Source organism: Homo sapiens, chromosome 20 (assembly GCF_000001405.40).
Source record: "Homo sapiens chromosome 20, GRCh38.p14 Primary Assembly".
Taxonomy (NCBI): Eukaryota; Metazoa; Chordata; class Mammalia; order Primates; family Hominidae; genus Homo; species Homo sapiens.
Window position 1 is genome coordinate 23703323 of NC_000020.11, and position 17972 is coordinate 23721294.

General features: G+C 42.5%; 1 pseudogene, besides 1 other annotated feature; it reads right to left on the reverse strand.

Moving 5' to 3' along the window:
• On the reverse strand, positions 7736-8077 carry CST2P1 (cystatin SA pseudogene 1; annotated as a pseudogene).
• Positions 14909-15409: an enhancer, noted in NCBI's record as "H3K4me1 hESC enhancer chr20:23698868-23699368 (GRCh37/hg19 assembly coordinates)". NCBI's record gives its function as "activates a minimal SCP1, AML or CMV promoter by ChIP-STARR-seq in naive H9 embryonic stem cells {active_cell/tissue: H9 hESC(naive)}" and the evidence as "EXISTENCE:reporter gene assay evidence [ECO:0000049][PMID:30033119]".

Consider the following 17972-nt stretch of genomic DNA (forward strand, 5'->3'; position numbering starts at 1 on the left):
CCCCACCCCATTCCCCTGCCTCCCTAGCACATGCCTCAGTGAGCCTCTTGCCCTTGAATTTCCATCTGAGTCTGTTTCCAGGAACCCTAACCAAGAGATGGTGGAGTCAGGACCCACACCACAAATATCCTGCCTTTTAAACTACAGTGGGTGTTAGATCTGTGAATGTTTGGAGGATGGGGCAATTCTTGTCTGGGAGACTGGATGTCTCTTTTCCCAGGATTCAAGGGGTAGGATGCTCCAAATGTATTTAGACCTGAGACCTATTTGGAAAAATGGTGTTTTATCTGGAAAGTTCCCTGTTCTTGAAAATCTCTTACTCAGCTAGTACTATTTTTCCCTCTTTACTCCTTAGTAAAATGAAAACCAAAGCTTCCATTTGTATTGGACTTGGTGAAATATTTCACTTACCAAATTTCTTTGGATCCACCTGATGGGGAAGGCTAGGCAGGTAACATAAACCCCTTGTAATTTTGTGGAAATATGTAGAAGGGAATTTGGGGACAATAAGGCAGGTCATGTAATTTTCAGATAAATTTTGTTCGCATTGCACAATAAGCTTCATTTGCCACCCTGGCTCTGGGACTGGCACTTAGTGGTGTGTCAGCTCCATCATTTGTAGAAGTGTCCTGGCTGCAGATAGCAGGAGTCCTGAGAAACACTGGCTGCCTCTCCCATGATGACACTGGTGATTCACCAAAGGCCATGGGGGTGGTGTTCACAGAGTAGGTGCAGGGTCCTTAGCAGGGGCCCAGGTGGTTTCCTTCCATCTTCTCCATCATTCATTGGGCTCTTGTTGTTGGGAACATGGCTCATAAGTGAAAGGCAGACACCATAGTTGGAGACGTTCTGTCCCACACTACTGCCTGAAACGTGAGGAGTAGGAGCAGGAGGAGGTCACAGGGGGTGAGAAGAGGGTGTGGACAGTGAGTGGGAGAGAGAGTGTGTGTGTGTGTGTGTGAGAGAGAGAGAGAGAGAGAGAGAGAGAGAGAGAGAGAGAGAGAGGATTCATTCCGAGGACCCTGTCTTTTCTATTCAGTACAGGCTTTTCTTTTCTTTCCTTTTTCTTTTTCTTTTTTCTTTTTTCTTTTTTTTGTAATGACCTGGCTGCCTTCTTAGATGTTACTGCCTGGACTTGGGTCCTATGCCCCGGGGGGTGAGGAAGGCCAGGAAGTTTATTGCCTGGTGCTTTCAGACTTTCCACTCAGGGGAAGGGAAAGGGAGTAGGGACTGGCTGGTGAGGTTTTCAGAACAAAGTTTCTTAATATGAGAGTCCACAAAGAGTTTGTAGAAACTCCATTGTACTCCAAAGATTACAAGCGTGTTTGTGCAGGAGTGTGCATACACATACCTACACACCATTTCTACAATACTCATCTGACTCCTAATGAGATCAGTGACTATTACACTATTCTAATGTTGAAGTATGGATGCTGAGTTGTAAATGCAATGCCATGAGTTTGCACTGAAATTAAATGCAGACTCACTTCTTGAGCTTTACATATCCATTACTTTCAACTGAACTGGGCATCAGGCTATCTCCTCTTTACATTCAATGAAAGTAGAATACAGGAGAATGAAAGAGGATGAAATGGAGCACTCTAAAGCCAAGCCAGAGCCCACCTGCTAATTGCAGTCACTGAGTCCACAGCAGTGATGATTTCTCTGGTGGTGAAGGCTTTGTAGGGAATGTGACCTAAGATATCCTCTCTTCCCCAGGAACTCAGAGCATGTATCTGAAGACATTCAGTGCCACAAAAAACAAGCAAACACTTATTAAATACTAAGTGGCTTTCAGAACTCAGGGAGCATGTGAGAACAATTTTTTTCCCACTTTGGAAGGAGTTTCACTCTTTTTGCCCAGGCTACAGTGCGATGGTGTGATCATGGCTTACTGCAACCTCTGCCTTCCAGGTTCAAGCGATTCTCCTGCCTCAGCCTCCCAAGTAGCTGGGATTACAGGCATACACCACCATGCCCAGCTAATTTTGTACGTTTAGTAGAGATGGAGTTTTACTATGTTGGCCAAGCTGGTCTTGAACTTTCGACCTCAAATCATCCACCCGCCTTGGTCTCCCAAAGTTCTGGGATTATATTCATGAGCCACTGTACCCAGCTGTGAGAACACCCTATGCTGAAAATAAACTGCCGATTAACTCATAGTTGATAAGCTGTGAGGCATATGTGGGCATATCAACCACACCAATAGGTCATTCAGCCATAGTATTTGTTAGTTTTAGTTTTAAAAATAGAGACATAGGGAGGATCCAAGGGGAAATAACCTATAATCTCATCACCCAAACACTCCTAACTGACACTAAAAAAAATGTATAAAGAACACACACACATTTTTGTAATGTTCAAATGGAAAATAAAGATCCTAAATATAAAAAAAAGCAAAAGCCAAATTATCCATCTCCCTACCCACTCTACCACCTCTCTTCCGTGGTATCCACTGTTAATAAATACAAATGACTGACTGCCTGTCTCCTTTCCTATATTTTAGGCTTTTATGTGTATATCCACATGTGTAAATATGTGTCTAAATGTCTATACACTCATACACATGCGTGTTTACTTTTGTTTTTACAAGCTTTATATTAACACACCACATATACCTTGCTTTCAATAAAATAATATATTCAAGATATATTAAAATTATTTCCAGTTTAACACATATGTTGCTATCTAATTCTTAACCGCTCTTCCATCATGTGTGTGCTCTATAATTTATTTGAGCAGTCTCTAGTGATGACATCATTTTGATCATGTCAAAGTTTGTGCTATTACCAGGACATTGCCATGGTCATCCACAGGTTTCACTGAGTGTTGGTGACACTGTAAATGATATATTAATAGATTCTTAACATATTTTAAGTGTAGGTTTATTAACATCTATTAAATGTATGATTGGTGTAGGGGATGGGCCTGTGATCCAGACCTGGCCTATGAGGCATGAGAAGGAATGAGCTAAGGAGTGCATAGGAGGAGGTTACTCACATTCAGGAAGGACGGGTGGAACAGAGGCTTTTCCCTAGGATCTTTCTGCCTCTGGATGTTGGTGTTGATGATGTGATGTCTGGAGCTGTAGCAAACACCTTGCTACCAGCTCGAGGCTGAAGCATCATAAACAGAAAGGTAAGGATGAGAGAATCCCAGGGAAGCAGAGCTAGATGCTGGGAGTTCTGCTCCTAAAACCTGTCTCACCCAGGGCCTTCTTATTATGACAGGTAGAGTACTCCCTTTGCATTCAAGCCATTTTTAATTGGGACCTTTCTTTACATGCAGTGGAAAGCCTCTTGCCAGCTCCCAATGCCCATGCAAGTTTATTCTGCATGAGTTTCTCCTTCCCTCACTTCTTCTCCATGTCTCCTACTTTTGTGGCTGGTGGATTTGCCTCCCTCCCATTTCCTCTGGGACCATGCACTCTTACAAAAATATTAAAGTCTTCTAATAAAAATCCAGACCTTTAGTGATGCTAATGACTTTTAAGTACAGAGCTGTTCAAAAACCCCACAAAAAGCTCCAAGTGGGCCTCAGCAACAGCTTTACTTTGCTGGATGTTTTGTACAATAAAAAAGTGTGTGGTATTTTCACTGTAGTCAGTTAAGAACATTGGCTTTTTCTACTTTGGCTTTCTTCTTCACATTCACCACCCTCCGGATGGTGTAGGTTGGACCCAGGCATTTTGATATCTGGCTAAGAGGACGTTGAGTTGGGATGCATTTAACCTGGGGTGAGGGGAACACATTCCCGCGGTTCTCAGTCACTCCTGTGCATAGTCATGTTGCCTCAAACTGTCCTGGTGTAGGAGTGGCCCCAGACAAGGCCCTACCACCCCCTCGGTTTTTACCTAAATCAGCGAGGAGAGGTAGAACCTTGATCAGAAAATGTCCCCAGCACCTCACATTGGAAGCCTGTGATTAGCAGAGAGGAAAAAAGGTTTGCAATGTGTGGAGCCAGAAGCCCATCTATGGATAATGATTCCCAGCAGAAACATGGAAAATTTCAAGTGAGTGTTTGGTTCTTTTTGACCCTAGTCAAAAAAGGAAGTTTTACTCTATTGGAAATGTATTTGGTAATATGGCATATAAAATAATTATTGCATCATGCAGTTGTTTTTATTTTTGATGGTAATTGAATGAGATAGAATTTCTCAATTTTTGACATTTGTAGAGCACAGATCTGTGTGGTGAAACTACCCATAGTAAGGACATATGTGTGTGAAGCGGCACAGAACTGATGGATGGGGCTGACCTCCCACCTCTTTTTATCCTGACCAAGTCTGGGAGCTCCACATAACACAGATATAAAATTGTGACCAGCAGTAAGGCAGCTCAAAGAAATGCTTGCTTCAGGACAAACTCCTCCTGCACAGTCAATGAGCTAATAGATATAGCACATAAGGACATTTTTAGACAATTCTGAAGCTCAGTACAACAGTGACAGTTTAAAAATGCTGTGTTTGTGTCCATCGTCAACAGAAAGATTTGATAAGGTCCTCAGTTTTAAAACAAGACAATTTAGAGGTATTAAAATCTTAGAGCTTGCAGATGAAAGGAAAATGAAAGAGGCTTTTCCAAACTGGACAACAACCAGAAAAATGTGCATGATATGGCCAATTATGAGTTTTGAATCAAGATGTTATGCACTATCAATTTTACAAGTGATCAAACCTTTTAGTGGAAAGACTGGTTTATTCTTCTGCTATACTTAATCAAAATCCTATGATAAATTAAATGTCTTATAATGAGACAAATAGTGATTCATTAGTTGAGTATAAAAACATCAAATGAAATTATGAGTTGTGTCAGTAGCTAATTAATAAAAATATCATGTGAGGAAGTAAAAATCATGTGGATTAAGAAGGGCAAATCTGCCCTTTCATCTGCAGAGTGGATAGATGGACTGATGTTAACAAAGCCAGTGGTATCATGAGCAGGACAGAATGTTCAAGCTGCAGCTTTGAAATGTCAAACAGCCTCTTGTTGGCTGATGACTGCTTTCTGACTCTGGGCAGGTGCCTGAGGCTGGGGTTAGAGAGAGTCCCTTCTCCCTGCCCAGCACCCAGCCCTGCAGCTGCTTCCTCTAGTCCAGCAGGCAACATCCCAAAGGATGCATGGTGGAGCTCCCAGTACCTCCATTGCCAAGTTAAATACCTCTTAACAAATCAAATTCATCACATTTGTCCCCCACCACCCCATCCACCTGCTCATGTCAGAGGCGTTTGAACCAGAGCAACTCCATCTGGAGTAGGGGCTGGGTAAAATGAGGCTGAGACCTACTGTGCTGCATTCCCAGATGGTTAAGGCATTGTAAGTCACAGGATGAGATAGGAGGTCAACACAAGACTGCTTTCTGACTCAATGGAAGACCTCATCCTCTAGAGTCAGGGGCTGTCAGAAACTTTGCTTATCAGTAAGAAGAACATTCTACTGCCTGGAAGATCTATATCCACCTTTCCACAGAAGCACAGAGCTACAGAGAAGGGGTTTATGGACAGAACATTCCACATCTGTCTGGACTTTATGGGTTCTAAGGACACAGGACTTAGGTCCACTTTGCAGACCAGGCTTGACACTGGCTGCTTTACACAGAGGCCTGCCATGCCCTGAGTGCATCGATGTCACCTCAAAATCCTTTCCCCTGGTCCTAGAAAAACCTCTTTTCTTTTTTGAGTCATCCCAGGTTTCTTGGTGTGAGTTTATTCCCTTATTGCAACAAGGCAATAGACCTGAATCTGTTGACTGCAGAATCGGTGTTAGTGACTGATTGCAATAGATATGTGTTATTTTTCCCAATTTTGTGATGTTCGCAGTATTTTTCAGCATTTTCATACATATAATTTCCATGATTTATTTTCTCTTCCTAAATAAACATTAATTTTTGTGCTTAGTTTTGTATTGCTAACACAGTGCTTTTTTTTTTTTTTTTTTCTTTTTTTCCACAGAGAGCCCTTATGTTTGCTTCTCAGACCCTGCAGCTCCTTGGTCCTCCTGTCCTTGTTATGGCAAGTGTCTGCCTGCCCATGGAAAGACTGTGCTGTCTTGTGCTTATCTGGCCTCCGATGCACTCAACCCTCCTTCCAGAGTGATTTCTCTATGCTGGATTAGGGGTTTCTAACTTCTTCATTTTCAGTCTTTTACCACTGATTTGTGACATTATTTTTGGGAAAGAAAGTCTTAGAAAAGGCATAAAATTTCCAAAATGGGAACTGAATGATATGGAATTTTATATTTTTTGATATTTGTAGGCGCAGATCAGTGTAGTGAAACCCTGTCTTACTCTCCTACAAAGACCTAGTGGCTTCAGGACTCAGTTCAGACAATTCATTGGCTCAGAAGCTATTCCTGCTCACCCTCAGCATCCCTATCCACTTCTTCCCTCCTAGAGAGCAGACACACACACAGGGAGAAGGTGGGGGAAGCCCACTATACACCCCCCACTTTACTCCCAACTTTCTCAAGGGAGAGAGAATTGTGTCTGAGAAGTGGCTGGTTTACACAAGATCATCTCTTCATTGTGTGTCTTGAGGATGGTTGCTTGCGTCAAAGGAGATTTTCCATCCAGGTAGAAAATCATGAGCAACTCTCTGCAGGGATGTCTTCACCCCTAATCACCACTCTGAGCACCTCCTACTCTGCATGCAACCCCTCTCTCCCACCAGAAGCCTGAGTGACTACATCTGCCCATCCCCAAGAGGATGAGGCTCAGACTCAAGTCCCCCAGGTCATGGCCTCCTGGGTGGTGCTTCACTTCCCAGATCCCAAAGACCTCTGTAAAATCAAGTCCAAGTGGAGATGAAATGGATGTAGATGTTCTCCACTCTCCCTGTCCATGTGTTTCCCACTCTGGATTTCTAGGTGTGGCACATGGGTGCCAGTCTCTGGACAATTTGGGCAGATTTCCTCTTATCATTTTGCGCCCCTGCCCTCCGCCATGTTCATGGCAGCAGCCCTTGCTCAATGTGACTCTGAGCATGGAAGGTATTGGAGAGCCCTGCCCGGGACACCGGCCATGAGGCTGCCCCCCTGTACCCTGAAATGGCAAAGGGGACTGTGCAGGATGGGCTGTGTGACTTAGGACTGTAGTTTCCTGTTCAGGGCAGAAATATCCACTGTTCTTTGGAATGCTAGTGACAATGAAGTGATGTTCTTTATTAATGAGAACATCCTTCTTGAAAACTGAAGACCGTCCACTGCATTACAGTCCTGAATGTTTTAATTTCTACATTCTTTATGTTAAGCTTGACATAATAACTTGGTTTGAATCCAAGTTCAGAGAAAGGGCCAGTGGGGGTGAACGTGAACAATGCTCCTAGGGTACAACCTCCCAGCACAGGGCACTGCCTCCCACCATAGGGCATAACCTCCAAGCATAGGGCACAATCTCCCAGGATAAGACACCACCTCTCAGTATAGGACACAGCCTCCCAACATAGGGCACCATCTCTCAGCATAGGACACCACCTCTCATCATAGCACATAGCCTCCCAGCACAGGGCACTACCTCCCAGTGTAGGGCACAGCCTCCCTGTCCAGCATAGGGCATGACCTCCCTGTATAGGGTGCACCCTCATGGGACTGATCAATGGAGGCACTGCTTTCACACTAGAACCTGGGCTGCTCCCTTTGGAAGAGGTCAGACTTGGAGGAGGGGGCTGGTGGACAAGGAGAGCTTCATAAAGGGACTGCTAAAACCCTTCCTGTGTGCACAGCCCCAGACAGCCAAGAACTCAGAGGGAGCCGATGCTACTGTTTAGTTGCAGGAGAAGGGGTTGTGTGCACCATGCACCGGGGCTGTAAGAAGCAAGGAGGGAGGGCAGAAACCCGTGCTGCGCAAAAAACCTCCTGATGCCTTCTCTGTCTGTATCCTGGTGCAGGCCTGCAGAGGAGACCTCCCCCAAGGTAGGAACCACCAATCCAAGGGTGAGAGCACTACAGTGGCATGGGTGTAGGAGGTGGTTGGTGCAGCTAGCCTACTACAAACCCATAGACATTCTGACACGTGGATTTCACCAAGGACATTCTGTCCTCCCAAGGAAATTCATAGATCTGGAAAGAGCAGAACTGTCTCTGTGAAAGGAAAGAGAACGGGACAATCAGTGTGAGTTGCAGTTAAAGCAGGAGACTCTCAGGCATGAGACCACCATCAACATAACATCAACATCATGGTCATCATCATCATCACCACCATCACCATGAGCCTCACTACCATCACCATCACTATTATCATCACCATCACCATTACTGCCACCACCAAGACCATCACCAACACCAGTACCAGCATAATCCCCACCATCGCTACCATCATTACCACCATCACCACTGTCACCATCATCATCATTATTATCACCACTACCATCATCATTATCAATACCACCATCTCTGCAATCATCACCATCACCACCACCACTATTACTACCATCACTGTCACCAACTTCATTACTATTACCATCACCACTATTATCATTACAAGAGCTACCATCATCACCACCATTATAACCACCACCACCACCACCATCACTATTATCACAATCACCATCACCATTATCAATACCAACATTACTGCTGTCATCACCATCACCATCACCACTACCACCATCACTATCAGTATACTCACCATCATTATACTCATCATGACCACCATTACCATTATCATCATCAACACCATCAACATCATTACCATTACCAGCATTACCACCATACCATCATCATCATCTTCAAAACCACCACCACCATTACCATTTTCATCTCCAGCATATCATTCTCATCACCATCATCATCTTCAGCACCACTGCCAGGTGTCTGTCAGTAGCTTTTCTGCATTGGACATTGTGCCACACCCTTTATAAACCTCATGTGATTACATAGTCATGCTAATTCTATATTTTATAGAAAAAAAGAAGGCGGCAATTGGCTTTGTAACATGATAGAAGAGTGAGAATCTGGTTTTTCTTCTCAGAACTATCTGCAATCCATGATAGAGAAGAATCACTGTATTTCTCAGCTCCTACATTACTGGATCTTCCCTAGAGAGGTCTGATGTGGACATCCACAGTGAAGTCTTCACTGGTTTGCTGGTCTCCACCCTCAGATTTTGTTTCTCTGGTTCTAAAATGTTTAGAAACCCATATCCCCTGCCACATGAAGCATTGGCATCTTGCTCTCTGTGGCTGCACTTTTGCTTTTGCCCATTACACAGTCTGGCCTCTAGAGAAACTGGACTCTTTGATGTTCTCCAGACACAGAACTGTCCAGGCTCACATAATTCTTTCTCAAATGTTTACCTGTAGATGCCCACTCCACCATAGATCTTTGCCTCCACAACTGCTACCTGCTTCTCTGGTTTAGGTCTACACAAACCCTGTCTATGAATCCCTCTCTGGTCCATGTAGCCAGCCATGTGTGACCCTTTTGATTTGGGGGTCTTATAGCACTTTTGTGTGCACAAGAGGAATTTTCTATCCTCCTCTTAGGGTCATTCTTACTTGTGTGTCTATTTCTGTCACCCACCAGGCCATGAGGTCCTAGAAGATAAAGACTGAATCTCCTTCCCCATGTGATTTGCCTCTCAGAGATCACTGAGATAATCACAAACAAAAACTAGCTAACACTAATAATGAACATAACACTCAATAATATATTATAACCTCATAACTACTTACTAGGTACTATTACTTTCTTCATTTTAGAGATGAAATAACTGAGCCACAGAGAGTTTAGGGAAATATGTCAAATTTACACAGATTGTAAATGGAAGAATCAGGATTTTAACCCGTGTAGTCTGACTCCATGTCATTGCCATGATGTGAGATGCCTCAGCAGTCTGCTGTCCTCAAAACTTTGTGCATTTGAGAAATTTCATGTCGAGCCACAGTTATGCTGCTTTTGAACTGGAGCTCAGAGGATGGGGCCATTTAAAATGCCAAGGTCATCACCACCTCTTATGGAACTTGACTATGATTCACAGGCATGTGTCTTGGCCCAGACCCTCCTTCTTTTTGGAATTCCCATCTCCTATGTCACCTCATTGATTTCTCTTCATCATTTGTGATTCTGTAGATATTACATTTTCCATAAAGGTGACTTTCTAGATTGACAGAAGAAAACCCTGACAAGGGGATACAAATGAAAGTGGTTTATTTGGGAGGTAGTGCCAAGACACACTCTTGGGGCATTGAGGAAATGATACAGGGAAGAGAAGGTGCTCAATACAGTGAGTGTGAGCTTTCAGGCTACTGCTATGGGCACCTATGGCTCAATTCTGCTGGGAACTTCTGGGAGATTGCGTAGAACATGTCTGCTCATGTCATTCCTTGGATGAGGAATATACAGGGCTATTAGTTCTCTCACACTTACTTGTGCCATGTGCACAGGTAAGTTGGTGGGGATAGTGGCAACTGGAGTGTGGGCTAGTAAGTGCAGTGAGGTAAGACAGTGAGGAACTATCAAGGGATGTGGGCAGCTTGTCCTCCTCCCCCAGCCCTCTCTGTGCATTTGGTGCCTTTCTCTGTGCTCTCCAGTGCCATATTCTCTCCTCTGATTTCCACTTGCCTGTCTACAACCCAGAATTCTATACTGAACATTCATTGAGGATAGAGAACTTGGCTCTTTCACTTTCTTTTCTCCAGTACCAGATTTTGTTTCTAGCATAGAATGTACACTCAACAAAGACAGTAGGAGTGAAATTAAATCCATTTTATGAAAAGTCTGAAAAGCTTTCATAAATGTTGATTTAGAAATATTAATGTAGGAGAAATTCTCTTGAATAATTAAAAGAAAAATATTATATAGAAGTTGCCAGGAACAAAAAGAAAATTGCTTTGTGTAATTTGAAAAATCATCCCCAAAAATAAAATGCATAAAAAGGAAGTGTGAGAGAGGGAAAATGTAATCATCAGCCTAGAGTCCCAAAAGCAAAATAAGGTAGAAATGAAAATGAATCACAGGTGCTACAAAGCTCATTCTCTTCCACCGAACAAGGAATTGGGTAAGAAATGCAACCAGAAGCCATATGCTGGCACCCGAGCAGTTCCAAGTGGGTTCAGGGCAAAATGATCCTCTTGGTACTTTGGTGACCTTGATAAGTGAGTGGATGAGAAGTGTGAGTGACCACCCAGTTATGCTGTCCAGGAATACTTGACTGCCCAAAGACGGATAAAATGTTTTTCTGTGTACTTTAAGGAACTGTTAAGATCCTGCATTTCATTATACTTCTTTTATGTGGTTTTTAGGACCCCTAAGTCTAAGACGCCCAGAAAAGAGGAAGAGGTGAGCAGGTACAAAGTGGGGTCTGAGTTCCGCTTGTGCCTGTCTGGTAGCCTAGTACTGCCTGAAGAAGCACAAACATCTACCTGGTGCTGTTAGGTGGGCATTTGCGGTCATAATTAGGGCTGTCTTCTGAGTATTTCAGTTTCTTCTCATGAGTGCAAGGCAGGATTGTTCTTCTTCTTCCTTTGAGTTTGGTGTGGTCATGACTTGCTATGGTGATGAAGAAGAAGTGAGATGTCTAGTCATCATGCTGGTTCTCTCCTGAATACCATGTGTTTTTTTTTCCATTGTAGTATTCTTTTATAGGTCCTTGAGATTTATGCTTTAAGGAGATTCTATTTTGTGTATTTTGAGGATTTGTTTCAAGATTTAGAGGTCCTTTTAGCAGTTCTCATAGTGCTGGCCTGGTAGCGGCAAATTCTCTCAACATTTATCTGAAAAAGACTGTATCTTTCCTTCATTTATAAAGCTTAGTTTCACTGGATACAAAATTCTTAATTTATTTATTTACTTATTATTATTATACTTTAAGTTTTAGGGTACATGTGCACAATGTGCAGGTTAGTTACATATGTATACATGTGCCATGCTGGTGCGCTGCACCCACTAACTTGTCATCTAGCATTAGGTATATCTCCCAGTGCTATCCCTCCCCCCTCCCCCCACCCCACAACAGTCCCCAGAGTGTGATGTTCCCCCTTCTGTGTCCATGTGTTCTCATTGTTCAATTCCCACCTATGAGTGAGAATATGCGGTGTTTAGTTTTTTGTTCTTGCGATACTTTACTGAGAATGATGATTTCCAATTTCATCCATGTCCCTACAAAGGACATGAACTCATCTTTTTTTGTGGCTGCATAGTATTCCATGGTGTATATGTGCCACATTTTCTTAATCCAGTCTATCATTGATGGACATTTGGGTTGGTTCCAAGTCTTTGCTATTGTGAATAATGCCGCAATAAACATATGTGTGCATGTGTCTTTATAGCAGCATGATTTATAGTCCCTTGGGTATATACCCAGTAATGGGATGGCTGGGTCAAATGGTATTTCTAGTTCTAGATCCCTGAGGAATCGCCACACTGACTTCCACAATGGTTGAACTAGTTTACAGTCCCACCAACAGTGTAAAAGTGTTCCTATTTCTCCACATCCTCTCCAGCACCTGTTGTTTCCTGACTTTTTAATGATTGCCATTCTAACTGGTGTGAGATGGTATCTCATTGTGGTTTTGATTTGCATTTCTCTGATGGCCAGTGATGGTGAGCATTTTTTCATGTGTTTTTTGGCTGCATAAATGTCTTCTTTTGAGAAGTGTCTGTTCATGTCCTTCACCCAGTTTTTGATGGGGTTGTTTGTTTTTTTCTTGTAAATTTGTTTGAGTTCATTGCAGATTCTGGATATTAGCCCTTTGTCAGATGAGTAGGTTGCAAAAATTTTCTCCCATTTTGTAGGTTGCCTGTTCACTCTGGTGGTAGTTTCTTTTACTGTGCAGAAGCTCTTTAGTTTAATTAGATCCCATATGTCTATTGTGGCTTTGTTTGCCATTGCTTTTGGTGTTTTAGACATGAAGTCCTTGCCCATGCCTATGTCCTGAATGGTAATGCCTAGGTTTTCTTCTAGGGTTTTTATGGTTTTAGGTCTAACGTTTAAGTCTTTAATCCATCTTGAATTGATTTTTGTATAAGGTGTAAGGAAGGGATCCAGTTTCAGCTTTCTACATATGGCTACCCAGTTTTCCCAGCACCATTTATTAAATAGGGAATCCTTTCCCCTTTGCTTGTTTTTCTCAGGTTTGTCAAAGATCAGACAGTTGTAGATATGTGGTGTTATTTCTGAGGGCTCTGTTCTGTTCCACTGATCTATATCCCTGTTTTGGTACCAGTACCATGCTGTTTTGGTTACTGTAGCCTTGTAGTATAGTTTGAAGTCAGGTAATGTGATGCCTCCAGCTTTGTTCTTTTGGCTTAGGATTGACTTGGCAATGCGGGCTCTTTTTTGGTTCCATATGAACTTTAAAGTAGTTTTTTCCAATTCTGTGAAGAAAGTCATTGGCAGCTTGATGGGGATGGCATTGAATCTGTCAATTACCTTGGGCAGTATGGTCATTTTCACGATATTGATTCTTCCTACCCATGAGCATGGAATGTTCTTCCATTTGTTTGTGGATACAAAATTCTTGGTTGATTTTTTGTTGTTGTTGTTTAAAGAGGCTAAAGATAAGACTCGAATCCCTTCTAGCTTGTAAGGTTTCTGATGAGAAATCTGCTGTTAATCTGATAGGTTTTCCTTTATAGGTTACCTGATGATTTGCCTCACAGCTCTTAAGATTCTTTTCTTCATCTTCACTTTAGTTAACCTGATAACTATGTGCCTAGGTGATGATCTTTTTGCAATGAATTTCCCAAGTGTTCTGTCAGCTTCTTGTGTTTGTATGTCTAGATCTCTAGCAAGATCAAAGAAGTTTTCCTCAATCATTCCCTCAAATATGTTTTTCAAACTTTTAGATTTCTCTTCTTCCTTGGGAACATCAATTATTCTTAGATTTGGTCATTTAACAAAATCCCAAACTTGTTGGAGGCTTTGTTTATTTTTAAATTCTATCTTCTTCATCATCGTTGGACGGAGTTAATTTGAAAACTTTGTCTTCGAGCTCAGAAGTTCTTTCTTCTACTCATTTGATTCTATTGCTGAGACTTACCAATGGATTTTGCATTTCTCTAAGTGTGTCCTTGATTTCCAAAAGTTGTGATTGTATTTTGTTTATTCCATTTATTTTCACTGGAGGTCTTTCTATTCATATGCTGCATCTTTTTTTTTTTAATTTCTTTAAGTTGGACTTCACCTTTCTCAGGTGGCTCCTTGGTTGGTTTAATAATTGCTGCTGAATTCCTTTTCTGGCATTTCAGAGATTTCATCTTGGTTTGGATCCATGGCTGGTGAGCTGATGTAATTTTTTGGGGTGTTAAATAACCTTAATTTGTCATACTACCGGAATTGTTTTTCAGTTTCCTTCACACTTGGGTAAGCTGTGTCAGAGGGAAGATCTGGGACTCAACAGTGGCTCAAGGGCTGACAGCAACAAGCTGTTCCTGTCATGCTCTGCTGCCTGCACATGGGCTGGGGGTCAGGGGGTCTGGTGCTGGCTTGGCTTGTGTCTTCATGCTGGGGCCCATGCTGAAGGGGTCGTGCCCGTCTGGGCCAAGTTCTTCTCATGGAAGCTCAGATGAGAGGAGGAGGACCAGCCTCTCACACACACAGGGTTAAGGGTTCTGTGCTTGTCCCATGTGTTAACATCCTATGGGCCAAGCAAGACCCATGACCATGCACAATGGCAATGGGGATCTACTCTGCATTTTCTGGAGAGAGGTGCTGCTAGCTGCATGGCACAGGGCATGGATGTATACTTTAGTTCCAGCAAGGGAGCCAACTGTCCATCCACCCTGCCACACTCCCCTGAATCTTGGAAATACACTGCTGTGACATGGCACATATGCGCCCAGGAAGCAGGTGGATTTCATGCTGGCAGTGGTTGGCTGAACTCTTGCTATCAAGGCTGACTTTTTTCTGTCTCCTCTGTTCCATCCTGGGATGTCTGGGAAGTGTTGGCCTCTAAGGAGTCCTCCAAGTGCGGAGAGTTCCCTTTTCAGGCCCTCTCTTTCTTCTCTATAAAAATGAGCAGGTCAAAGGCCATGGCTTCAGAGAGTCCTTTTTAGGCCTATAGTTTGTGATCCATTGATTACTGTGTTATTCCGGATGAAGAATTTACCCCCTTCTACCTCCATTCCCACCTCTACCCATTGCTGGCAATGTGGTACCAGACTCACAGGCCCATCCTGGTGGGGGTGTGCATGTGGGAGAGGGGGCTTATGGTGAAAACCCAGGAGGAAACAGAAGAAGGGGACTGGGAAACAGTAGTGACCCCCCTGTGCTGCAGAGGGAGGTGCAGGTAGAGTGAGTGGTGGGGAACGTGGCTGTCCCTTGTGAGGCAACACGTCTGGTGGAAGCAGAGGGCGCTTGTTCCTCAACCTCTGCCCATGCATTCTCTCCAGTGCGCCAGTCCCTGCCGTCTCACACCCCGTTTCTCTGCTCCAAGGAACAGTACAGGGTGTGGACACTGGTGAAGCTCATCCTTAATAACCAGCTGCCCTGAAGCTTCATGGTGCTGCGGCTTGGCTGGGAAGTCCATGCTAGGCTGGAAAGCATGAGCCGGGACCTTCCAACAAGCTGAGCACACAGGCCTGTGCATGTTGGGTGGGGCTGGGGTCTCAGTGCTGAGGCAGCACTTTGCTGTATTTTCAATTTTTAATTTCTTGTAAAAGATAAAAAGATGATGGAATTATGTCAGGAGGACACAGGAAGCAGCTTAAAGGGGCTCTCACTAGTCAACTCAGATATTTTAAACATTCAAATAAGTGATAGTAACAGATTACAACTCATTGAATAAAATAAGAAACCGTGAGTCTTCTAGATCTGTGGATAAATAGATGATTAACAAATAGAGAGATAGAAAGATACATACAGATAAAGGAGAAAAGTTCTTCCTTGGAGTAAAAAGAATGCCATTAATGAATATATAAAAAAAGAAGCAATTTTATTTTTCTATATTCATTAGAAAATAAATAATAAACTTTTTTATTGTAGTTTTGAAGTGACTTCAAACTTACAAAAAGCAGCAAGAGTAATATAAAGAGCTCCTGTACACACCCAGACCCTCCCACTCCTCACATTGTGTCTCGCGCGCTTTTCCCTCTTTCTATATGTGTATGCACTGTTACAGCTTTTCCTGAGCCATTTCAGAGCAAGCTGCAGGTGTGACTCCTTTTGTCCTTAGACATTCTCATGTGTGTCCCCTAAGGCCAAGGACATTCTCCAGCACAGCCTCAGTGCAGTGAGCGGAATCACGGCACTAGCATGGGTCCACACTGTCGTCTAATCTGTCGTCCAGGCAATTCATCAACCGTGTGTCGTTGTCAGGCCGCCTCAGTCTCCTCTGATCTGAAACAGTTTCTCAGTCTTTCTTATCTTTGTAATCTTGTCATTTTTGAAGATAACCGGCGATTTCATAGAATGTCCTCAGCTGGGCTTTGTCAATGGATGAGATTCAGGCTATGCAGATTTTCAGAGAAGAATTGTAGATGTGATCTTGTGTCCCTCATTACCTCCTACCAGGAGGCCATAACAACGCTGTCCCATGGCTGATAGACACTAACCTTGATCTCTAGATTCAGATGGTATCTGACAGGTCTCTCCACAGTACAGTTTACTTTTCTCTCCTTTATATTTAGTAAGTGTTTCATGGAGAAATACTTTGAAATATATATTTATGTCTTACTTATAAAGTTTTCACTTTTGCTTTCTAGCTTTAGCATACAATAATAATTCCTGTTTGAATCAGTTGTTATTATGATTGCTTTCAAATTATATTCATAAGTTCGTTTTTTAAAAATACTTATAAATGACATTCATTCTACTGCAAGGAAACACTTTACTCTTTTCCCTATCTATCCATCTATCTGTTAGACATCAATTTTTCCATAGATCTATCTGACTCATGGCTTCTTATTTTACTCAAGGAGTTATAATCTATTGCTCTTGTTTATTAGAATGTGAAAATTACCTCAGGGTAGGTTAGTGGAAGCCCCTTTAAGCTGCTTCCTGTGTCCTCTTGATATGTTTCCATCATTATTTGAGCCTATCCTTACTTTCTGATATAACAAGAAGTTCCGGATTTATGTTTTACTTTCTCTGATCCAAGGTGAAAATCAGTGGTTGGAATCTGCAGTGAATGTAGAAAGGAATTCCCGCGTGCTGCCTGTACTCACCGCTCCTGGAATGCCGTGAGGCCTCAGTCAGTGGTTCTCAACCTGGGGCAATTTTGCTTCCCAGGGCACATTTGGTAATGTCTAGGATGTCTTTGGTTGTTCCGATTTGTAAGGCAGGTGCTACTGGCATTTAGGGAGAGAGGGAAGGGATGCTGATCAACATTCTGCAATGCACAGGACATTTCCAGAAAAAGAATTCCTAGGTCTCAAATGGCCACAGTGCAGAAGGTGAGGCAACTTGTTCTTGGCCTTGTCTGTTGGTCAGTGCTACAAAATACATACAAAAACTTACCCACGTGTAGATAGCTATTGTTCTATTACATATTTATGTATTAAAAACTCTAAGTTATTATTGACACCAAACCCAATGCAATGAGATTCTTTCCAGTCCCCTCCTTTCTATAGTTGTGACTCCTTTCTTGGACAATTATAAACCTTCATTCCATTATAATCAATATATTTACTTGCTTTCTGTGTACTAGAACTCACAGAAAGTGAAACATTATTCTAGATCAGTGTTTCCCAATTTATCTTCACAGGACACTCTTTCTCATGGTTGCTGATACATGTTAGCCCTTCCCCTCAAAACACAAAGGGTATGAGGAACAGAATCATCTAGAAAAGTTGGAAGAGAATTAATCAGATTCTTATCACAAGTATTTTTTGTTTTAATGAATATTCTAATGTGCATTGGTATCTCTGAATGGAGGCTTTTGTATACAGAATAATTTCAATGTATTTTTCAGGGAATCTTTGAAAATGTAATTAGCAGCATATATTAACTCATAGCCACATTTGTGCTGTGTGCAACAGTTTGCAAACACTGTTTTAGATCTTTTGCACCCTGCAAGGAGTTTTTCTAGATTTTTTCAT